Genomic DNA, 25,931 nt, shown 5'->3' on the forward strand with positions numbered 1-25,931 from the left:
TCTCCTGCTTCAGCCTCCTGAATAGCTGGAATTACAGGTGCCCACCACCACGCCCGCCTAATTTTTGTATTTTTAGTAGAGACGGGGTTTCACAATGTTGGCCAGGCTGGTCTCGAACTCCTGACATCAGGTGATCCACCTGCCTCATCCTCCCAAAGTGCTGGGATTACAGGCGTGAGCCACAGCACCCAGCCTCTGAAGGTATAAAATTTCTATACCTAGCCAAATGAACTTCAGAGAGACAGACAACATTTAGTCCAAAAGCTATAAATGGAATCAGCTCATAGATCCATTCTCAATGGCCTCAAAGTGTCTTTTAAAAAAACATTCAAATGTAAACGGCTTATGTGGGGCCCAGGCCCTTCAATTCTCTCCAGGTAATTTAGTCTACAACACAACCCATGTCTGAAACCTGCTCTGTTGACGGCTGTGTGCTTCTGCCTAGCATCAAAAGCTACTCAGTCTACAGACACAATGAGTGGTAGACCCACTGGCAGCTCAACACCCTCCCCTGAACTGGAATGCTTTTCTCATGTCAATTCCCTGATATACTCTGTAACTTCCATAACTGCCTTTCCTTTAATATTAATGCTTTAAAATATGAGGGAGCTGGAATAGCTACTAATTATAGCTGAGTTCATGATACCCATAACAAATTCGATTTTTTTTTTTTGAGACAGAGTTTCGCTATTGTCACCCAGGCTGGAGTACAATGGCATGATCTCTGCACGCTGCAACCTCTGCCTACCGGGTTCAAGTGGTTCTCCTGCCTCAGCCTCCCAAGTAGCTGGGATTACAGGCGCCCACCATCACGCCCAGCTAATTTTTGTATTTTTAGTAGAGACGGGGTTTCACCATGTTGGCCAGGCTGGTCTCAAACCCCTGACTTCAGGTGATCCTCCCGCCTTGGCCTCCCAAAGTGCTGGGATTACAGGTATGAGCCACCATGCCTGGCCCTGAAATTTTTATATGATTACATTTAATTACAATTACTTAAGACTAAAAAGAACATCTGGCTTTAAGTCATTAGAGGGAAAAAAAAAGCTTTATATTTGATTTTGAGTCTTAATTTCTGAAACCTATTGCTATTTAAACCAAACCAAACGTTCTATTTAAAAAAATGTTATCCTAAAGCTACTGCTTACTAGGTTAAGATGAGCAAGAGTGCAATCTAAAATGAACTGAGGCAGTGGGGGAGGTGGAGAGTTGGGTGCCTCTACTCCTAGCTGATCTATTCACTATCTGGAGTATCAACTTTATTGATTCATAATAGGATGACAGAAGCTGCATATATATCTGAGTCCCTAGGTTAAAATGAAATAGCAAAAGCTCATTTCTTTATAAATTACGAAGTACTAGATAAATACAAAGAGCTGAACAAACAGGTTTGAGATCTGGCTCTGTCATTTCTGACCCATGTGATCTGAGGTACACAACCTACCAGGTTCAAGCTCCAGTCTGGAATGTAAGAAGGGCTAACAAAGAAGTGGCTTATGCTGTCATCCAACATCACTGCTGGATTCTTGAATAAGGGGATTCAAAGCAAACATTACTTTCTTGCTTATGGCTTCCTCACATAGTTTGCCAGGAAATAAAGTGAGTAAATCCATTTAAAGTGCTTTGGCATAGTAACTGACCCAATAAATGCTCACAAAGCCAACAATGGCTTATGAATCTTAAGAATTTTGTACATATTTGTTGATTACTGGTTTGCATAACGGGAGGCATATATTTACCAAACACTTACTATGTATGTGCTAGACACTGTGCCAGGCATATGCCATACTTCTCTCAATTTTCACAAGAATTCTGTGTGGAAATCATCAGTAGAAAAACATTCATAGCTTTGCTTCCCACAGGGAAGGATAGGATGCTAGTGCTAGAGTGAGAAAGAGGTTATGTCTTAATTATACACAAAATGAGCGGGTGGCATTTTGAAGTTCAAATGACACATTTTGGTTGGTAAGAGAACAGGTCTCCAAGCTGGTTGCCAACGATCCTGCTTTCTAATATTTATACATTCCCACTGAAAACTATTCACCTAACCCAGATCCAAAGTTGGTCTGTGACCAACAGGATGTGGCAGAAGGGATGTGACTCGTATGTTTACATTATAAAGAACATTATAGCTCCCATTTTGTGTGCTTTTTCATACTCTTACTTTTTTAAATCACTTACTCAGAAACCATGGCAATTTATAACTAATACAATTGGATTATTGACATTCATTCAGTAGGGGTAGGGACTGTCTCATACAAAGAATTTTCCTGCCACAAACAGCTGACACCAAATGCTGATTAAGAAAATAACAGTCCACCATGGAAGAATTCAAGCAGAGCAGCGTTGTGTATTGGGATGGAGTCCGGAGAGTATTTTCCCAACATTTTCAGCTGTGTTGTTTTATTCAGAAAATATTTATGAAATATTGTGTGTGATCTGATTAGAAAGTAACATTTTTTAAAAGTCAAAAAGCTGGACACAGCAGCTCATGCCTGTAATCCAAACCCCTTGGGAGGAGAAGGTAGGAGGACTGCTTGAGGCAAGGAGTTTGAGACCAGCCTGGGCAACATGGCAAGATCTTGTCAATATTTAAAAAAAAAAAAAAAATTAGCTGGGCACAGTGCCTCATGCCTGTAGTCTCAGCTGCTTGGGGAGGCTGAGGAGGGAGGATCACTTGAGCCCCAGGAGTTTGTGGCTGCAGTGAGCTATGACTGCACCACTGCACTCCAGCCTGGGCAACAGAGTGAGCCCTGTCCTCCCAGAAAAAAGTCAAAAGAGAAAAAATAGTGAAGTTATATAATTTAAGTAGTTATTTAAAAAATAGACATCACACAAGGAAACTTCTGCAGGGCTGAGAGAAGAGGAGCGGTTATACACTGCCCCTTGGTGTCTGGGGGCCAGTAGACAGAAGTGGAAAGGGGATGCGAACTCTGCTATTCTTAGGGGACAGACAACAGATCCATCAGAAGGTTTAAAAAACCGGGGGACCTGCAGGTTCATTCTTTGAAGAGAAAGCAATTTAGTGCTGAGGAAAGAGCTCCTTGCCAAACTAGATATATTCTGTAAGCGCTCAGGGTTGACTCAATATTCAAGGCTAATGGATCAGTTATGCTTTGCAAATGACAGCAAGATGTCTTACTGCCAGTGGGATCTACCCAACCATCATTTGAATCCCGCATATGCCAACAATCCACTCCACTATATTATAGCCCCCTATTACTCCAGGCCCTCTAAGAAAATCTGTAAAATGTCAAAAGGGAAGCTTATTAGGGAAAAATAAACACAAAGACTCATCCCCTAAAGCTCCGCCTGTAGGACGTTTTCTCTGATAACTTCTCCCTCTCCCCATCTCCTGGGAACTCCTCCTTTCTGTTCCCATAGCAGCATCTGTACAACTGCTGTACTATACAAACATACTGTATTGTCGTTATTTGTTGACTGTTTCCCCCATTAAACTAAGTCTCAAAGGGTGGATTATCCTTTCCACTTTCCCAACTACGGCAACAATGCTGGCACGCACTCATTTAAGTAAGGGCCTGTGATGTGCTACTTCTGTGTTAACAAAGACATCTGATTAAGTCCCTGCCCTCAAAAAGTATATACTCTGGTACAGAAATGCGAACCCATGAACTGGTGATTACAGTGCAATTAAGCGCTCTGTGAGGCTGCCACTGCAGTAAATGTGAAGGCCATGCCACCCACAGCTGAGGACTGCAGGAGGTAGGCAAAAAGTGGGGCAAAGGGCCTTCTTGGCCAGAGAAGCAGGATGCAAACAGGTGGCAAAGAGAGTAAGGCTGTGAAGAAGCCTGCATTTGGTCCAGCATACACAGAGGGTGACAGAGATGAAACCCAGGTCTCATGAGCTCCCGGGGCAGGAGACAATCAATGGTGTGAGAGATGCTTACAGAGACATAAGCTCAATGACAGATGTACAGCATGGAGTGAGAAGCACAGTAAGTCCCTGACTAGGCTGCTTCCTAATCAGGGAACTGAGGGTGGGGTGGTATAGAGTTGGGGTAGGAGAGCTACTGAAGCAGCCTCTTCCTACTTTTGGGGCCAGCTGGTCTTAGGACAAAATGGATATGGGCTATGGTGACAGGTACTGGGCTACTCATCATGAGGAGTTCAACAGAGGACTTGCTTGGACTGGCCACTAAGAAACACTTTAAATAATGCAAGAAGATACTTAGGCAAATGTAAATCCTAAAATGATCAGTATTCTGGAATAATTTCTTTTTAAAGTTCTACCATTTGGAGTCAGAATCTCTCATGTAGATAAAAAAGTCAAAATCGTCAGAGGTAAAAAGTCCTAACTAAATGCTCAAATTTAGCCCATGCTTAGGGAGTCACTAATTCTTTATCTAGTCAACTCATTACAAAAATTTATTTTTGGCCAGGTGCGGTGGCTCACGCCTGTAATCCTACCACTTTGGGAGGCTGAGGCAGGCAGACTGCCTGAACTCAGGAGTTCGAGACCAGCCCAGGCAACACAGTGAAACCCTGTCTCTACAAAAAAACAAAAAATTAGCTGGGCGTGGTGGCGCACGCCTGTAATCCCAGCTACTCGGGAGACTGAGGCAGGAGAATGGCTTGAACCTGGGAGGTGGAGGTTGTGGTGAGCCGAGATCATGCCACTGCACTCCAGCCTGGGTGACAGAGTAAGACTCCGTTTTCAGGAAAAAAAAAAAAAAATTTGTTTTTGTTTTTTTTCCACTAAGAGCTTACTTAATCTCTTTTTCTCCAGAACTTCTCCCAAGATAACCAAATGTTTCTCTGCTTCTAAATTTCTTACTTTTTATGACTTCCACTCTCACTTTTGGCCCTTTTCATAATTCTCTTGGTCCCGTTTGGCCCATGACCTTATGTCAAAAGTTTCTGCTCCAGGGAATGCTACGTACAAGACTCAGGATGGGCCTACTTCCAGCTACCATTCAGTATAGGAGAGGGAAGAGAAGTGTGAGAAAGCCCAAGGATGGATCTGAGGGAGGATAACAGAAAACTAGGTTCCTAACTCAAGATGAGATTAAGTTCTCCTTTCTAGTATTTATTTTGAAGAAGTCAGGGAATCAAGAAAATCTCTGAACACTTATATAACTGCTGATAAGACTGTACATTAGTTCAGCCCCTGTGAAAAGCAGTTTGGAGGTTTCTCAAAGAAACAAAAATATAACTAATATTCAACCCAGTAATCCCATTACTGGGTATATACCCAAAAGAAAATAAATTGTTCGGCCGGGCATGGTGGCTCACGCCTGTAATCCCAGCCCTTCAGGAGGCTGAGGTGGGCAGATCATGAGGTCAAGAGATAGGGACCATCCTGGCCAACATGGTGAAACCCCGTCTCTACTAAAAACACAAAAATTAGCTGGGCGTGGTGGCGTGCGCCTGTAGTCCCAGCTACTTGGGAGGCTGAGGCAGGGGCATCGCTTGAACCTAGGAGGCAGAGGTTGCAGTGAGCTGAGACTGTGCCACTGCACTCCAGCCTGGCAACAGGGCGAGACTCCGTCTCAAAAAAAAAAAAAAAAAAAAGAAAAGAAATCGTTCTACCAAAAATGCACCTGCACATGCATGTTTATTGCAGCTCCATTCGCAATAGCGAAGACATGAAATCAAACTAGGTGCCCATCAATAGTGGACTGGATAAAGAAAATGTGGTACATATATACTATGAAATACTACACAGCAATAAAAAAAAGAATGAAATTATGTCCCTTGCACCACCATAGATGCAGCTGGAGGCCATTATTCTAAGTGAATTAACCCGGAAGCAAAAAATGCCACATGTTCTCAGTTTTAAGTGGGAGCTAAACACTGTGTATACACAGACATAAACATGGAAACAATAGACACTGGTGACTCCAAAAGGGGAAGAGGAGAAAAGGGTGAAAGACTGAAAAGCTACATATTGGTACTATGTTAACTATTTGGGTGACAGCTTCAATAGAAGCTTAAACCTAAGCATCATACAATATATCCATGTAACAAACCTGCACAAGTACCTCTGAATCTAAAATAAAAATTAAAACTTTAAAAAAAAAAAAAAAAGAAAGAAAATCCCTGACTCAGATAATAGAGTTATACAGTTTCTACTTTATTGGTAACAAGTAGGTAATGAAATAACTCTAAGATCTAAGTTTTGTAGAGTGAAGAATTTAATATCATCATGTATCTTCACAGCCAACACGCACAAGAAGCTGAGATTTAGATAATTCACTTTAGAGAGTTAACAGAGTGCCTTTTATTTAACATCACTGGCTAACAATCCTTTTGAAAGGGCAAATCAAACACAGAAAAAAGGACAGAAGTTAGCCATGGAGACCAAGAGAACAGGCTACCATTTATTTTATCTAACTTGTTTTGTGAAAAGTGACCAAGGTTTAATTGTGAAAAAGCCACTAAAAAATTCCAAATACTTACAGCTTCTTTCTCTCTGTCCATGATAGTTTCCAGCTCTTCAAAATGTCGAAGTTTGATCTCTAGTTTCTTCATTTGTGTCTCAACCAAGAGAGCTACCAGGGACTTGATCTTTCTTTCTTCCACTGCAGCCAGGTGCTAAGGGTACAAGATCATTCAAGCTATTTAGGTAAACATTTGCTTAAAGAACATTAAGAAAATGCTGACAATATTCAAAGTAGAGATTATATAATTTACAATGGTACCCTATATGTCTCCTTTGTAACGTACAATCTAAAATAACTGTCTCTGAATTTCTGGTCCTTATAGAGATAAATCAACCCTTAAAAGATTAAAGGAAATGCCTCATGTGGTAAACTACTACCTTCAAAAGGGCTATCAAGAAGGAGAGGGCAAACCAGGACCCTGATGGGCCAAAGATGAGGACAGGAGGTACTTTGCCACCTACCACCCCATCCTGGCACTCGGTCTGTCCCCTCACTATCCTTTCCTCCCTAAAACTTTTCTAGGGGTGGGCAGGCAGGCAGGCTGCTGAGGACAGCACCTGACACTCTTATACAAAGCCTCTCCCTTCTCTTTGGTGAGCAGACCTCATGTGTGGAAACAAAGGGGAAAACAATATTTGATCTGTAATTCCAGGTCCAAGTCCATAGCTGGAAAAATAAATACAGTACTAAACAGAAAGGTACTCTGGAAGACTCACTCCTTTGCCACAAGACTGATGGTGAATGCTTCCTGCCAACTCAACAGCACAAACAGGAAGATGCCACATTACTTATATCTGCTTAAGACCCTAACTACTAGCTAGTAATCAATCCCACCCTCTATAGACGTCATCCAAGAACTTTCCCAGCAAACTCCCAGCACCATTTTTCATTCACTTTTATTATGTCTGCTGAATTTATGTGTTTATCTTGCTTCTACACAAGGCTTTTTTTTTTTTTTTTTTTTTTAAAGAAGCAGGGTTCTTCATAAAAAAAAAAAAAAAACCTATGTTGCCCAGGCTGGCCTCCAACTCCTGGGCTCAAGTGATCCTTCTGCCTAAGCCAACTGAGTAGCTGTGACAAGCCACAGCTGTGTGTGTCACAGCACGCATCTTACCAAGGTCTTAAGAAATAGCATGGAGTGGCTATTTTACTGATCTCTTAATGATCTTAGGTTTCCCAGAGAACCTAGGAGCAACCATGCAACTTAATACAGGCTTTTGGGAACTATGCTGAGACCTAACACTTAGACGAAAGCCTAATTTTTCATTCATTTACAGTTGAAAACAAAAACTGTAGTTTTACAAATATGGAGACCCATTTGCAAAAAGATTCAGAAATGTAGACAAGAGGTGACAATGAGGTTTTATAGCTATTAATGATCATGTCTGCCACCCTAAACTACAATGAGCTACATCAATGACACCAAAACTTTAAATAAATATTATGTAATTTAAGGCATTATCATTGTACAATGTTATACAATTTATATTTTTGAACAAAAAAATTTATGCGCACGATATAAACTGAAAAGTTACAAAGAGGTATAAAATAAAAAGTAAGTCTCCCCCTCACTTCTGTCAGCTATACATCAGTAACTCTTCCTTTGAAGATAATAATGTTATCAATTTCTGGTCTATTTTTATGAGAATATGACTCCTAGAACTCAGCTGGTTTGAAAGAAAATGTTTCTGGTATTTTTTTTTTTTTGAGATTTATGCAGGAACTTGGTGGGGGGAGCGGTAGGTGGAAAGGGGGTCCTTAAGTGTTATTCAATAAAATAATACCAAAATATTTCCTTTTAAAACTGCAGGTCATTGGTCAGCCGTGGTGGCTCACGCCTGTAATCTCAGCACTTTTGGGAGGCCTAGGTGGGCAGATCACATGAGATCAGGAGTTCGAGACCAGCCCGGCCAACACAGCAAAAACCCTGTCTCTACTAAAAATTAAAAAATTAGCTGGGTGTGGTGGTGCATGTCTGTAATCCCAGCTACTCGGGAGGCTGAGGCATAAGAATCGCTTAAAGCCAGGAGGCAGAGGTTGCAGTGAGCCGAGATCCCTCCACTGTACTCCAGCCTAGTGACAGAACAAGAATCCATCTCAAAAAAAATAAAAAATAAAATAAAAGAGGCAGCAGGTATCAAAAAAATTAAAAAGATCCACAGCAAGAAACATTACTGAAATTTTAAGAACACAAGACATAGAAAATCCTACAAGCTTTCAGAAAGGCACCCTCCCAAAAAAACAGGTTACCCAAAAAATTGGACTGCATCAGACTTCTTAAAAGTAAAATGAGATGTTTGAAAACAATGGCAAAATGCCTTTCAACTCTGAGGGCTAATGAATTTCAAACTAGAATTTCCTATATAGCAATCTGTAACAGTGTGAATAGAGAACAGACATTCCTGAAATCAAGGACTAAAAAGCTCACTTCCTACATGTGCTACTGAGGTATGTGTTCTAGCTCAAGTAATGTAATACCAGAAAAAGATAAAGACCTTAGATTCAAAAGTCACAGACCAAACCTAAGAAAGAAACTCTGAGTTTATAGGGCAAGCGATGATTCAAAAATAAATTGAGGCTGGGCACAGAAGCTCATGCCTACGCCTATAATCCCAGCACTTTGGGAAGGCGAGTGGATTACAGAAGGCCAGGAGTTCAAAACCAGCCTGGCCAACATAGTAAAACCCTGTCTGTACTAAAAATTAAAAAAAAAAAAAAAAAAAAAGCTGGATGTGGTGGCACATGCCTGTGATCCCAGCTACTCAGGAGGCAGAGGCTGTGGTGAGCCAAGATTGCGCCACAGCACTCCAGCCTAGGCGACAGAGCAAGATGCTTTCTCAAAAAATAAAATAAATTGAGACAAATGAAACAAGACTGGTAAAAATTGATAACCAAAGCTAGATAATGTGCATGCAGAGACTATTTTACTACTTTGTCTACTTCTGTATATGTTGGAATTTTTTTTTTTTTTTTTAAAGACAGAGTCTGGGCCGGCGCTGTGGCTCATGCCTGTAATCCCAGCACTTCAGGAAGCCGAGGTGGGTGGATCACTTGAGGCCAGGAGTTTGATACCAGCTTGGCCAACATGGCAAAATCCCTTCTTTATTTTTCTTTATTTTATTTTTACAATTTTAAAAAAAGAAAGGAAAAAAAGAAAGACCAGCCTCCCAAGTAGCTGGGACTACAGGCACACACCACCACACCCAGTTAACTTTTGTATTTTTGGTAGAAACAGGGTTTTGCCAGGTTGCCCAGTCTAGTCTCAAACTCCTGAGCTCAAATGATCTGCCTGTCTTGGCCTCCCCAAGTGCTGGGATTACCGGCATGAGCCACCGTGCCCAGCCTACTTCTATATATATTCTAATACTTCCATAATAAAAGTTTAAAGGTGGGTTGGGGTAGGTCAACAAATGGAGCTGGGAAAACTGAATATCCAAATACAAAAGAATGAATTTGGACTCCTATCTCATACCACCCAGAAAAATTAACTTAGTGGATCATAGATCTAAATATAAAAGTATACACTAAAAAATTCTTAGAAGAAAAAACAAAGTATATCTAAATGATCTTAGCTTAAGCCAAAGATTTCAAGACATGTAAAAAGCACAAATGATAAAAGAGAAAATTAGGTTGGACCTCATCAAATTAAAAACATTTGTACCACCAAGAAGTCCACTGAAAAGAGGCCAGGCGCAGTTGCCTACCATCTGTAATCCCAGTGTTTTGGAAGGCTGAGGCAGAAGAATCGCCTGAGGCCAGGAGTTTGAGACCAGGGCAACATAATGAGACCCCGTTCTACAAAAAAATTTAAAAATTAGCCAGGCATGGTAGCACATTCCTATAGTCCCAGCTACTCAGGAGGCTGAGGAGGAAGGATCACGTGAGTCTGGGAGTTTGAGGCTGCAGTGAGCTGTGATCTTGCCACAGCATTTCCAGCCTGGGTGACAGAGCGAGGCCCCGTCCTTTTTTTTTTTGAGACAGAGTCTAGCTTTGTCGCCCAGGCTGGAGTACAGTAGCATGATCTCGGCTCACTGTAACCTCCGCCTTCTAGGTTCAAGTGACACTCCTGCTGCAGTCTCCTGAACAGCTGGGATTACAGGCGCCCGCCACCAAGCCCGGCTAATTTTTGTATTTTTAGTAGAGACGGGGTTTCACCATGTTGATCAGGCTGGTCTTAAATCCTGATCTCATGTGATCTGTCTGACTCAGCCTCCCAAAGTGATGGGATTACAGGTGTGAGCCACCGTGCCTGGTGAGACCCTGTCTTTAAAAAAAAAAAAAAAAGAAAGAAAGAAAGAAAAAAAAAGGAAAAAGAAAAAAGAGACGAGTAAATGGCAGAGCTGGAACTAAAAATTAAAATTCCAAACCCAAAGGCCCATTAGTTATTTTCCAATGCATCTTTGGAATAATTGATACTTGAGTGGATACTTTCCTGGGTAATTCTTAGAAGGGACTTGTGGTAGATTAAAGATAGCCACAAGTTCACTGGCCTTTATTTCATTAAGAGGCAGATCAAGACAGGCTCTCTGCCTTGCCCAATAAAAATTAGTGGTAGCCTTTTCTAAGCCCAGGCCTTACAATCCTGCAAACTTTCATGTCCTGTTTCTTGGAATGTTCTCTCTGGGAGTCTCAAGTTGCCATGTACAAAGTATGATCACCCTGCTGGAAAGACCACAAGGGGAAATTCTGAGACTACATGGAGTGGAAAAAAACCTCAGTTACCCCTGTCAAGGACTAGGATTCTAATGAAGCCGTCTCAGACCTTCTACATAAACCTACCTATGAAGTTAATACTACTAAATGACTCAATTGATACATGTAGCAGAATTGCCCAGCTGTTTGGTGTTAAAATTTAACAAAATTATGAGATTTAATAAAATTGTTATGTTTTAAACTACTCAATTTTGCTATTGTAAAATAATTTGGTATCTGGAAATGGGGAGCTTTTGTAACAGAAACCTAAAATGTTTCTCTTTGGCTTTGGGACCACATAGTGGGTGCAAGCTGAAAGGGCTTTAAGAAAACCATCATTAGGTAATAAAGTACAGGGAGGAAAATAGTACTGAAGGTTGAAGAAATAGATCTTTATTATCTAGTAGCACAACTTTTGGAAACACCATCATCTCTAGTCATGAGGAAATAGAAAGGGTAATTAATAAACTTGTGGATATGGCTGGGGCATTTCCAGGCCATGGAAAAATTCTTTTTCTATTTTATTGTGAGCAGCTAGAAGAGCATTGAAGTAAAGAAGCAACTATTAGGTTTTCAGGCAGAATTTAGAGGAAATATGAAAAAGTGGGATTTGAATAAAACATTATTTCTCATCTCTGGTTCCTTCCAGCAAGAGTCTGAAGCTAAGAAATGGCTTTGGGAGAAAGATCCAATCCAGAGCACTACCAGCAAAGGATGACCTCAGGGTAAAGAGCTCGAGGTGCGGCTATAAAGCTTTTTGAATGGTATTTATAGTAGGACTTCTAAGAGTCTTGAGTATATGCCTTAGAGCTTTCTACTAGACATGAGGGCCTCTAAGCATCTTTTAGATGTTTTTTTGAGACAGGATCTCACTGTCATTCAGGATGAAGTGCACCAGTGAGATCACAGCTCACGGTAACCTCAAACTCCTCAGCTCAAGAGATCCTCCTGCCTCAGCCTCCCGAGTAGATAGGATTATAGGCATTACACCACCACGCCTGGCCAACTTTAAAAACTTTTTGTAGAGACATGATCTCTCTCTGTTGCCCAGGTTGGTCTCTAACTCCTGGCCTCAAGCAATCCTCCTGCCTCAGCTTCCCAAAGTGCTGGGATTACGGTGTGAGCCACTGTGCTGGGTCTAAACATCTTTATAGCATGTCTCCTATATATATATATATTTTTTCTTTCATTGAGCTTCTTAGGTCTGTAAGTTAAAGTTTTCATCAAATTCGGAAAGTTTCCACACAGCCAATATTTATTTTTATTCTGCCTACAACACTCTTTCCTTTCTGAAGCCCCATGTTTGGACACTTACTTGTCCCACAATTTCCTAACCAAGCTCTTTATGACCTTTCAGGAATAACTGCCTTTGCTTTTGTTTTCTGCTTAGTTCATATCACTGTGCTGAAAGATTTGTTTCTAACCACTGTCCCTAGTTTTAAACTAGTTTTCTGTGTCACCTCTACAAGTTCACCTCTCAGCTTCTTTGCATCATCATTACTGAAGCTACAAATCTAAGATCCTTCCAACTAGACAAAAAGGGATCCAAAAATTAAGGGCTTTGTTCTCATAACATCTTAACTAAGACTAGGCAAAAATTGGGGGCTTTGTTCTCATAACATCTTAACTAAGACTAGGGCAAAAAGGGAACTATGTAGGCAAGAAAACATAGGTGTGGCTTTTGTCTAACGGGAATTACTTTTTTTCTTGAGACAGAGTTTCACTCTGTCCCCAGGCTGGAATGCAGTGGCATGATCTCAGCTCACTGAAATCCCAGGTTCAAGTGATTCTCGTACCTCAGCCTCCCAAGTAACTGGGCCTACAGGCACGTGCCACTATGACTGGCTTAATTTTTGTATTTTTAGTAGACATGGGGTTTCACCGTGTTGGCCAGGCTGGTCTTGAACTCCTGACCTCCCTCAAATGATCCGCCCACCTCGGCCTCCCAAAGTGGGGATTACATTTTAAACACAGAAATCCCACAAAGTTCTCAAAAAATTACAACACCTTGAACTGAAGTAGAAAGAACATAAACTGGGCCTACAACAAGTAGAATGCAGGCCAAGACAGCCAATCACTGCAAAACTCTGCTAATTTTTTAATGGAAAAGGAAAAAGACTCAGAAGAAAAAACTGAAAGCCCAGAGGGCCAAGTCAAACTGTGGAGAACAATTCTGCGAGTAGGACTGGGCCCTGATGAAGGAACTGGAAATGTGTGCCTGGCTAGATTTCAAATTTGCCATCAACGATGACTGCTCTGTGTCTCCAATTCAAACCCTCCTTGAACAGAGTGCAGTTAACCTTGATGTGTCTCACCCCTACTATACTAGTCCAGAAAATCTTCAAATTATAGTATCAGCATTCAAGAAGTTGTAAATAGGAACCACTCCTAAAGAGCCTCATCTGTATGTGGACCTGATTTACATAAGATCCGAGACCTCCAACCTCAGCTTGATATCATAATGAGATAAAGCCATGAGAGATCTATTTTTCAGTGGGGGAAAGGTATACAATTTATGACAAGAGAGTAGACTGTGGAGGGTTAAGGTGGCACATCTTCTACCTTGAGCTGTGCTCTGTGTCCCCTTACCTTGAATTTGGACAGAACATTTGACCAGTAGAGTAGGGCAGAAATTATGCTGTGTCAGTTTGGGGTTCCAAGTCATAAGACACTGGCAGATCCTCCTCCTTGCTACTTGTGACATTCTTCTCTCAAAGTTCTAAGCTTTGTAAAAAGTCCAACTACTCCTGAGACTACCTTATACCAGCTTCTTAGAAAGGATGTATAGAGAATGATGGTAGCCATCTCAGCCGAGGCATAGGCATATAAATGAAGTTGTCTCTGGCCCTCTATAATAGCCCAGCGATGAGGTAGTACTGAGTGACTCTAGTCAATGCGACATGGAGCACATTTTACCAGCTAAACCTGCCCAAGTTCCTCACTGCAATATCATGACAGATAATAAAATGACTGAGGTTTTAAACGACTAACTTCAAGGGTAGTTACATCGTTACATAGCAATAAATAACTGTAACAGGAATATTGCTGATGCTCAGATTACAGATTCTTGAAAGGTCTGGCAACAGTGGTGACCAGGGTGTTCCAAGCAGAAGCTACAGGGAGAGGCCCAACCTTTCACATATTGGCTTTATAGAGCCTGAGAAGAATGATGAGGTCTGGGATGGTGCCACAGAAGATATACGGCAGCAGTCCCCAGCCTTTTTGGCAGCAGGCACCAGTTTCACGGAAGAGGATGAAAGACAATTTTTTCCACGGGGCCTGGGGCAGGGTGGGGGTGGGGGGTGGGGGGTGGTTTCAGGATGAAACTGTTACACTTCAGATCATCAGACATTAGATTCTCAAATGAAGCACACAACCTAGATCCCTCGCATGCACAGTTCACAAAAGGGTTTGCACTCCTATGAGAATCTAATTCCACCACTGATCTGAAAGGAGGCAAAACTCAGGCAGTAATGCTTGCTATCACTTGCCCTGTCACTCACCTACTGTTGTGTGGCCTAGCTCCTAACAGGCCAGTGGGGTTGGGGACCCCTGATATATGGAACATAGGAGAAACAACTGGAGATAAATGATTAACAAGAAGCAATAATCCAGCTGGCATAGGGTTGAGGCCAATTTTGCATTACAAAGCATGAATTCCAACGAGTAGAACAGAAGTAGTTTCTATGTAGTCATACAAAAATGAAACTGAACAGGACTAACTGTAGGCAAAATAATCAAATGGGCTATTTTTTCCTGACACATTGAGAGGATTATTAAGGTATGGTAACAACGATCAACTTGCTTAGTGTAAATCAATTTCAATCAACCCCTGTCCGTTAATACCTTGTGACTAAAGTATACAATGACATTTTTCACACCTCCAGAAAGAGTTTCATGCTGGAAGCAGTGGCTGACACCGGTAATCCCAGGACATTGGGAGACTGAGGTGGGCAGATTCCTTGGCACCAGGAGTTTGAGACCAGCCTGGGCAATATAGGGAGACCCCGTCTCTACAAAAAATTTTAAAATTAGCTGAGTGTGGTGACACATGTCTGTGGAACCAGCTACTTGAGAGGCTGAGGTGAAAGGATCTCATTTGAGCCCAGGACATGGAGGCTACAGTGAGCTGTGATCACATCACTGCATTCTAGCCTGGGCAACAGAGCAAGACCCTGACAAAGCAAGCAAGCAAGAGAGTGAGAGAAAGAAAAAGAGAGAGAAGGAGAGAGAAAGAGAAAAAAGCAAGAATGAATGAAAGAGAAAGAGAGAAGGAGAGAGAGAAGGAAAAGAATGAGAAATTGCAGAAACAATGCATCAAGTTATGAGACATTTCTAGGGGGTAAGAGTCTTCCCGTTGTCCCAGAGCTAATACCCAATTACCATGTTGCCACGAATACAAACCTACTTTTGCCATTTTGGAAAACGTATATATGAGGTGGTTTGTAGAATAAATTCAAAGGAAATATCTGTGGTTTTAAGAAAATGTGATCTCTGCTTTCTTGGAAGAACTGAACCTACTACTGCTGACAAAAAGAGAACATGCTCTAATATGGGGGATTTATAGTTTATCCTGGCAATAGTTCTGGGCCTTCCTTCTCCTCTAAGCCTAAAGACCCAGATAGAAAGGATCCAGAGCACCCAAACAATGGTACTTCTGCTTACACCCACACACCACTCCTTTAGTTGAGACAATTCACAGCTTGTCAGCAGGTGCAATGAAAAAATGGACATGCTCTTGAAAAACCTTTCAGGGGACAATAACAGAAGCCATAAAGCATGCCACCTCATCTGTTTAGGAGATAGACCTAGAACCTCTAATTATCACTCCACGTCAGTATGACAAAAGATTCTTAAGGAAAACTTTTAATAACAAAGCTGTTTATAGACACAGAAGAAAATGAGAATAAGAGAAACTTGGACTGGCTACATAAGTTATATATTAATTATAGTAATTTAAGTGAATTCCTTACCCCCCTAATTACCATGTAGTATGAAAATGATCATGTGTGCTATCAAATTTATCAGATCCCAGCTGTAAGTGGCACTGAAGGGTTCACATGTGCCAAGTCGTGCAGCATGAGCATTTGTACACTTTCATAACTCAGAGGGAAACCTAGGTGTTTTGAGAATGAAGATACGAGCTCCTAGTAAATAGAAGGAAGAGTGACTGATGACGAGGGAGTGAAAGTTCAATGACCTGGAGAGAAATTCTTCTTTGGACACCTTTTAAATTTTGTATGGAATAGTGAAGGGGCAGGCCAAATGATCCATAAAAGTAGTTTCTCTGCAGTGAAGGAGTCAAGCTATTTTAAGATAATCAGTAGTGTATACCAGGCAAATCTTTGTGCCCAAAGTTGCACACAGTAACAGCTATGAGGCCAGAGGAAAACATCATGAAGGATTTGTGAAACTTAAAAAAAAAATTTTTTTTTTGTAGAGACAGAGTCTCACTATGCTGCCCAGGCTGGTCCTGAACTCCTGAGCAAATGTGATCCTCCTGCCTTGGCCTCCTAAAGTGCTGCAATTACAGGTGTGAGCCACTGCACCCAGCCTCATGAAACTTTTAAAAGGTAATCTACCATTTTAGTTCTTCCTATGGCAATATACACTGAAGCATAGCACAGTGGTATCAAGAGGAGAAACTGGCCAGGTGAGGTGGCTCACACCTGTAATCCTGACACATTGAGAGGTCAAGGTGGGCAAATCTCTTGAGCCCAAGAGCTCCAGACCAGCCTGGGTAACATGGCAAAACCCAGTCTCTACAAAAAAATTTAAAGAGGAGAAATAATAGGAAGAAAAAACCATGCTCTGTAAGAAAAGAATGTCCGAAAAAGCTTAGATAGAGATAAAAGAATCAATTCTGTTTGGCAGAACTACAAGAAACAGTTCAGGAAGGACAGGTAAGAAATAAGGGTTGAGAACTAAGTAGGGTCCTGATTATAGAAAAATCCTAAATTCTCTACTAAAGAGTTTGAAATTGCAGCCAGAGAGAGATAGGGAGGTTACTGAAGAAAGTAACATGTTCCTATTTGCATTTTTAAAGATTTCTGCACATAATGTAGGATTCCATTTATATGAAGTTAAAAAAAAAAAAAAGGAGAAACTAATCTACGGTGTAATGAGACAGACTAGTGATTACTCTCCAGGGAAGGCAAAGTAACTGGAATAAGAGGAAGCTTCTGGAGGGGCTGGTAATGTTGTTTATTGAAACGGATGCTTGTGACATAGGTGGGCCCAGTTTGTCAAAAATTCACAAAGGTGTAGGCTTCAGTATGTCCATTTATTTGAATGTGAGTTATACTTAAGAACAAGTTAAAAAGCAAGAAGATTACATTGGCTGCGGGTTAGAGAATGGGACTGAGGAGACAGGCAAAAGATTAAGGGATGCTGACCTGAGTGAGCAGTTGAACATTAGCAGGTGATCTAAAGCACCATGAAGAATTTCCTGGCTGAATAGCTATGGAAAATGATGGAACCAGGAGTCAAAAATGAGCCGAGGTTGCAGGTTTGAAGACTGAGGAAGGGCACAAAGGAGAAAGCCCTCTCCACCTCTAGCTCCTCATTTATAATGCGAGAGGCCGGGCATGGTGTCTCATGCCTGTAATATCAGCACTTTGGGAGGCTGAGGCAGGTGAATCACCTGAGGTCAGGAGTTCAAGACCAGCCTGATCAATATGGCAAAACCCTGTCTCTACTAAAAATACAAAAGTTAGCCGGGTATAGTGATGGACGCCTCTAATCCCAGCTACTTGGGAGGCTGAGACAGGAGAATCGCTGGAACCCAGGAGGCGGAGGTTGCAGTGAGCCAAGATCACACCACTGCACTACAGCCTGGGGGACAGAGTGAGACTGTCTCAAAAAAAAAAAAAAAAAAAAAAATATATATATATATATACACACACACACACACACACACACACACACACACACACATATATATAAAATGTGAGAGACTATGACCACGATAATCCTTCAGATCTCTAAAACACCTAATGACAGTATTACAGTAAGAACTTGAGCAGCTCAGAGACAAAGAGATGCACAAACACTCCAGGGTAGCAGAAGACAGACTAAAAAAGATGTTTGCAATGAAAGAGCAAAACCGGACAAATGGTGAAAAAGAGTCAAGTTATATTAGCCGTCACTTAAGCAAGCATGTACCTCAAAACTTCCCAGAGGGGGATGTAGGGGAGATAGAATAACTAAAATTAGCTAAAGAATCAGACAGGAGATATCTTTCTGATTCTTTAGCTAATTTTAGTTATTAGGAAGTATTACCTAGTTTTAGTTATTAGGAAAAGGGCAGGTAGTATAAATTTGTAGGATTTCGAGTTAGTATAATAACAATGATCAGCCGGAGTAACTCTCTGGGTTGACTGAGCATTTGCTGCGGCCTGTAAACACCTCCCTAACCTCCATTGTCTCTATCTATGTCAGATGGGTGGGCATTCAAAACAGTAATCTTGTAGTTTGAATTGGTTCATCATATCAGATTAAACACTTAGAGAAGTAGTTCACAGTAGCTGAATGATCTGGGGAATTAAAGATCATGAAAAAGCATCTTTATTAAAAGATCAAAAACAGTTCAAAATAAAATGATTAGCAATGTTCTAGTAATCACTGTTTCTTGAAATGTGGTATCCTATAATGGAAGGAAACTACTTCTGAAGTAGAATGAAGAACAGGGGAAAAGATTTTTAAAAACTTACATATTCATGTTTAGAATTACTTAAAATGCTAAATTAACACAGAGAGGAAAGTAACATTCTCATGTCTTCTTAAATATGCTCTGCAGCTAATACTATAAATAGAAAAAACCACCCCCAGAAAAGCTGGCAAATTCAAGAAGAAAAAGAGCTATTTTAGGGTCTCTCTCTCCTTTCAGTCTGTAAGATCAGGGTGAAGTATTTAGGCAAGGAAACAGGTTTTTGTCTTAAAAATCATAAATATTTCAATCTGGTAGAAATTATTGGAACAATAGTCCAAGATAAGTTCTGCAGGCAAATTAAAAACAAAATGATAATCAGTTCCTTAAAGAGACTTTAAAATTTGCCTTCAATCTCTGCAGTCTTTACAAGGCTAAATGGTATAATGAATGGAATGAAAAAAGTCACCCTTTAGACTGGATCTACTATTTCTATAACCCTCCTCCTGCCTGTGGATTTCTTAACCTAGAAATGCCATTCAAGCAGTCATCTCCTATTGGGAGCAAAGCTCTTTATACTAAATGTTCCCAATTAACTAAAAACAATACGACCATTCATGCCTTAAGAGAGCACTGGAAAAGGGCTGTCAGGGGCAAACCTTGGCTTTGGTAGCCGCTGAGGCAAGAGCAGCTGCTGCGGCTGTGGCAACATTTCCTTCGGAAATTTCATGTTCTACTTTCTTCTTCCCAGTATCACTTTCTCTTTCTTTACATGTATCAGTGAGTTCTTTGTTCTCTTCAGTCTCCTTTTCTTCTGAAAATATCAGAAAGCTTTGTTACTAGCGTGCCCACTCTCGAAAACCCATCTTTCTCCTTACCTCCACCACTATAACAAACTAGGACTGATATGACAAAGAGATGTCAATGCCTTTTTCTTCTTTTTAAGAGTTCTGTTGAGCCATTCCATGCATTTAGGTTTGCCTCTATTGGGGACATATTTTCTAAACAGCACACTTGTTTTCCTATCATTTTGCTAAGTTCTATGTGGAGGTCCCTTGGATATATATATTTAAAGGAACATACAGGGGAACTAAGTCTAAGGCCAACGTACTTGCTCATCAATCAATGAAATGCTCTAGGAACTCTAGTGTCTGTAGGAAATCAGAAGCTGAGAACAGACTACTTCTCTAAGCCTGACAGGCATGATGGGGTGTATCAGCAACTGACACAGAAAATGAAATGGGAAGTCTGTGAGGTGACTTCAATACTGTTGAATAACTTTTTCTTCTACATATTAAAAGCACAGAAAAAAGTGTAGCCACCAGCATTAGTATTAGCACCTATCTGAATGAAACTCAATTACATACTTATTGTTACATTAAGAAACAAACCCAAAATAAATGAGGAAATATTTCTATATAAACCACCTTCATTTCTCCAGTGCCTTTTACAGTTTTACATAATAATATCTAAGGAGTTTCCTCAAATTACCTGATTTGGTATCCTCACTCACTTCACTATCCTGTTCCTTTTCACTATTTTTTTCATTTTCTCCATCTTGTGCTTTATCACCTTCATCCGTTTCATTTTCCACTTTATTTTCTGCCTGAAAGGGATATAAAACAAGAGGACAGGCAGTGAACAAAAAAACCCCAGACCTTTTTATGAGTAATTATCTTAGACTAGCAAAAGGTTCCAATATTTTTGGCAAGAAATAGACTAGATTCAAAAGTGACTTGTAGAGAACAGCTCGAAAAGAACTAATACATTCCAAGCAATACTTTCTACCACTTCAACACTTGAGTGCTCACAAGATGTTCCTCCAAAGCACAGAGTCGCTGCCCTCTCTGCATACTCTGCTATAAAGCAAGGGTTACCATGCCCAGAGGAATGTGAAGGGAATTAACTGATATTTTTGTTGATTAAAAACAGGCCGGGCCGGGTGCAGTAGCTCACGCCTGTAATCCCAGCAGTCTGGGAGGCTGAGGCAGGCAGATCACCTGAAGTCAGCAGTTTGAGATCAGCTGGCCAACACAGTGAAATCCTGTCTCTACTAAAAATACAAAAAAGAAATTAGCCGGGCATGGTGATGGGAACCTATAATCCCAGGTACTCAGGAGACTGAGGCAGGAGAATCCCTTGAACACCCGGGAGGCAGAGATTGCAGTGACCCAAGATCACACCATTGCACTCTAGCCTAGGCAGCAAGAGTGAGACTCCATCTCAAAAACAACAACAACCACAACAAAATATATATATGTGTGTGTGTGTGTGTGTGTGTGTGTGTGTGTGTGTGTGTGTGTGTGTACTTAATAATTACTGATTGATTTAAAGAATTAAGAGCATTTAAATGTCACACCATCAACAAAGAAGCAAGTTGAAATGCTGCTGGAAAAGTTGACAAAGTCTTTTAATACAGCCATCTGCTAATAATTTCAGGAAGAACCATGAGAGAACATCAGTGATCATGCTTTAGAAACTGAAAAAACCGCAACTGACTATCACTGACTTCATGAGGCTATATTGTTTGCTTAGAGGCAGGGTCCCCCTATGTTGCCTAGGGTGGTTTCAAAGTCCTAGTATCAAGTGATCCTCCAGCCTCCCAAGTGATCCTACAACCTTCCAAGTAGCTGGGACTACAAGTATGACACACCACACCCAGCTGAGACTCTTTTAGGAATTAAATGAAATTAAAAATGTGAAGTACAAATATCGTCTTTAGAATAATGCAGGAACTATAATCAATTTCATTATTACCCTCACCCTCCCCTTAACTATATACAATTTTAGAATACCACATATAATCAAGACCTTCAATCTTGGCTTATATATATTCACTCAAATAGTGACTGACTGATCCCTATGTGCAGTAACAGTATTAGGAACACAAAGGCCCAGAGGCTGGGCGTGGTGGCTCATACCTGTAATCCCAACACTTTGGGAAGCCAAGGTGGGTGGATCACCTGAGGTCAGGAGTTCCAGACCAGCCTGGCCAACATAGTGAAACCACGTCTCTACTAAAAATACAAAAATTAGCTGGATGTGGTGGCGCGTGGCTGTAATCCCAGCTACTTGGGAGGCTGAGGCAGGAGAATTGCTTGAACTCAGAAAACGGAGGTTGCAGTGAGCCAAGATTGCGTTGCTGCATTCCAGCCTGTGCGACAGAGTGAGACTCTGTCTCAAAAAAAAAAAAGGAATACAAAGGCCCACATCCTGACCTTTGTAACCTCCTGTTCTGCCTCACCCATCATGCATTTACAGTCTCCTACAGAAGAGAGATTGAGCCACTAACACACTGGCTACTTTGAAGCTCTTCACACACTGGCTTTAGTGTCTCTCCTCTCCAACTAGTGGGAATCTTTGATTTTCTAACCTCTATTTCAATCTTTATAGTTCTACCTACTCTTTAAAACCTACCTCATATGTCATCTTCTCATTCTTTTCTTAAGATTCTTCTGCAGGCAGTTAGCCCTCATAGGAAATCACTTACTATTCTGTCATTCTCTCCTGGCACAAGAATAGGACTCAAACCTTAAAATTCGATATTCACAAGAACCACAACTTTTGTTGTTGTTGTTGAGACAGAGTCTCGCTCTGTCGCCCAGGATGGAGTGCAGTGGCGCGATCTCGGCTCACTGCAAGCTCTGTCTCTCCCGGGTTCACGCCATTCTCCTGCCTCAGCCTCCTGAGTAGCTGGGACTACAGGCACCCACCACCACGCCTGGCTAATTTTTTTGTATTTTTAGTAGAGATGGGGTTTCACCATGTTAGCCAGGACGGTCTCGATCTCTTGGCCTTGTAATCCGCCCACCACAGCCTCCCAAAGTGCTGGAATTACGGCGTGAGCCACCGCGCCCAGCCAAGAACCATAACTTTTGTATTCATAGTCCCAACTTGTGTATTCATATTCCCTCTTCTTTTGTGGGAAATTCATATTCCTTCTTCTTCTAATGCAATGAAATTAGATGTTTAAAATATAAAAGAAGAGGATAGGGAGTGAATACACCTCCCCAGTGAACAAATGAAAAATGTCCTATATTATATCCTGTGAGAACTATACCTTAAACCAGCAAAGTCCAAGTAGCTGATAGAATTATTTAGAGTCCCCTAAGAGGGACTCAAAAACACCCAAAAAACAAACCATTATGGTCTGAAAGGCATGCTATCTGTGGTTTTACTGCTGTGAGACTTTACCTTTTCAGGCTGCTGACCATCAGGGTCGGCTTCCATTTTTTCCTCTTCAGCTCCTTCTACAAGTAAAAGAATAAGAACAAGTACTCCAATGTGGAAAAAGGTAAAAGCTATTATTATACAGCTGTGAGAGTGTCTGAAATACAAATATATACAGTAATACATAACGAATATCATAGCCATACAGTTGAAAAAAGAAGTCAGGCACAAAACAACACACACTGTATGATAAAGTTCAAAAACAGGTGAAAAGTAATCTATGGTGTCAGCACTCAGAACAGTGGTTAACAGGGGGAAGGGGTGAATTATACAGAAAGCAGATTCAATTGGGAAAGGGGAGGTCCTAGGGTGCTGGTAACGCTCTGTTTCTAGGTCTGGAATTTGTAGAAATGAACTAGGCTGTCTGCTTAGGATTTTCGATTTTCTGTATGTATTAAAATATAAAGGCAAAATAAAAATAATTCATTATTATTTAACAGATGCCTGACAAGTATGTATTTTGACTCAGGTACTGGGGAAACACTATGACCCAGATATTCACTGAAATCTCAAGAGGATATCATTTTGGCTAGACAGGACACAAACCAGCACAGTATAACAGAAGCACATATCAATAAATTACATGAGAAAATTATTATTTCAAATATGAGAAAATTATTAATTTTCTACACTTTTAGGAACCTAATAAACTAATGTCAAACTGTGTAAGCAGCCAGGCATGGCCGCTCATGCCTGTAATCCCAGCACTTTGGGAGGCCGAGGCGGCTGCATCACAAGGTCAGGAGTTCGAGACCAGCCTGGCCAACTTGGTGAAACCCTGTTTCTACTAAAAATACAAAAAAATTAGCCAGGTGCGGTGGTGTGCACCTATAGCCCTAGTTACTCAGGAGTCTGAGGCAGGAGAATCACTTGAACCAAGGAGGCGGAGGTTGCAGTGAGCCGAGATTGCACCACTGCACTCCGGCCTGGGAGACAGAGTGAGACTACATCTCAAAACCAACCAACCAACCAACCAACCAACCAACCAACCAACCAACCGTATAAGCAAAAACTGAGAGTGGCAGGGAAGAAACAAAGACAAACATCATCATAAAGGATTTGAATACACCTCTCAATAAGATATAGAGCAGATATGAACACAGAAAGATGGTACAAATGTACACATGCTGAATTCTACATCCATCAATTAGGTGATAATACACATTAATTTCAAGCTCACACAACATTTTAAAAATAGTGATCACAAATTAGGTCACAAAGTGAGTCCTCAACAAATTTCAAATAACCACTACCATACAGATCAATTTCTCCAACCACAATGCAATGAAATTAGATGTTTAAAATATAAAAATAAACTTCTCTATGCATGGAAACTTAATTGTGGGAAGTAAAAGTAGTAATTACAGAGAACGTAAAGCCTTAGGCTTAAATCAGAAAAGAAATAAAGGCTCAAAGTATATGAGCTCCATGTCCTTTATGAGATAGTGAAAAAAGAAAACAATATAGAAAGTAGGGATGGAAAAAAAGAAAATAGAAAAAAAATACACTAGAGATTTAGAAAAATATACAAGAGAATTAATATTCCCAAACGTTGGTTCTTTCAAATGATGAATAAAAATGATAAATATAACTGATGAAGAAAAGAGAGAGATGACATAAACAAACTATATGAGGAATGGATGAAAGAAAGCTCATGACAGAACAAGGTCAAAAAGGAAGTGATAATATATTCTGAAAAACTTTATTCCAAGTAAAATTTAAAAATTAGATCAAATGGGAAAATTACTAAAAATTTATTTTTATCAAACTGATTCCAGAAGAAAAAGAAGTCCTGAATTGTCTTTACATTAGTCAGAAAAACTGAAACAACTATAAAACTTAAAAATACACAGGTCCAGATGTTTTACACTGGGGAATTCTACCAAACTCTTAGGGAAAAGATTATTACAATCTTACATAATATTTCCTAGAGAATAGAAAAAGAGGGAATTCCCCTACCTCAGTCTATGATACCAGTATAACTTTGATTCACAAATCAAACAGGGACAACGGATAAGAAATATTAGACGACACTAGGCTAAATCTCATTTGTAATCACAAACGAAAAACTAAGCAAATTATACTAAAAAAAAAGAATAGAGCAATATGTTTAACAAGAAAATCTATACTAGACAGAGTAATATCAAGGATGACTTAATATTAGTACTCTACAAACCTATTTAATTAAATGCATTGAAAAGTATCTGACAAAACTCAGTACTGTCCATTATAAGCTCCTGGAAAATCAAGGCTACATGGAAGGTTCCTGATCTCCAGAAGGCTGTTCTCAAAAATCCTACAACAAATAACATTCTTTGCTGAAAGATGCCAACAGTATTCTCTATATAAAATTAAGAGCAAGACAAGAATACAAATATTACTATTTCCCTTCAATATTGTCATACAGGCCAAAGCCAACACAGTCAATTAAGAAAAAGAAATTAGGCTGGCCGTGGTGGCTCATGCCTGTAATCCCAGCACTTTGGGAGGCCAAGATGGGTGAATCACTTGAGTCAAGGAGTTTGAGACCAGCCTGGGCAACACTGTGAAACCCCGTGTCCACAAACTATACAAAAACGAGCCAGGCATGGTGATGAGCACCTGGTCTCAACTACTCAGGAGGCTGAGGGAGCAGGATCGCCTGAGCCTGGGAGGTCAAGACTGAAGTGAGCTGAGACCTTGCCACTGCACTCCAGCCTGGATGACAGAGTGATACCCTGTTTCAAAGGAAAAAAGAAGGAATAAAAGGAAAGCTGAAAAGAAAATAGTTAAAATGTGCACAGACTAAAACTGTCTACATACAAAGATCTGCAGAAAATTTATTAGAAATAATGATAGGGTTTAGGAAGGTAGTGAGCTATAAAACTACCATATAAAACCAACTGCTACATTTTGATATGCTAACAAAAAAAATCTAGATAAAGACACGTGAAAAAATAAAACTTGAATGTTATCTTAAA

The 25,931-nt window shown here is 40.5% G+C and overlaps 1 protein-coding gene across 1 annotated transcript in view; it reads right to left on the minus strand.

Moving 5' to 3' along the window:
* Nucleotides 1–25,931, minus strand: part of SMARCC1 (SWI/SNF related BAF chromatin remodeling complex subunit C1) — a 196,625-nt gene that overhangs the window by 30,521 nt on the left and 140,173 nt on the right. Inside the window, exons 22-25 of the mRNA NM_003074.4 lie at nt 22,936–22,991; nt 20,233–20,347; nt 19,401–19,555; nt 6,418–6,552 (exon numbers count right to left, since the gene is read on the minus strand). Coding sequence (NP_003065.3) covers nt 6,418–6,552; nt 19,401–19,555; nt 20,233–20,347; nt 22,936–22,991 — 461 coding nt within the window. The remainder of the gene's footprint in view (nt 1–6,417; nt 6,553–19,400; nt 19,556–20,232; nt 20,348–22,935; nt 22,992–25,931) is intronic.

This window comes from Homo sapiens, chromosome 3 (genome assembly GCF_000001405.40).
Source record: "Homo sapiens chromosome 3, GRCh38.p14 Primary Assembly".
NCBI lineage: Eukaryota > Metazoa > Chordata > Mammalia > Primates > Hominidae > Homo > Homo sapiens.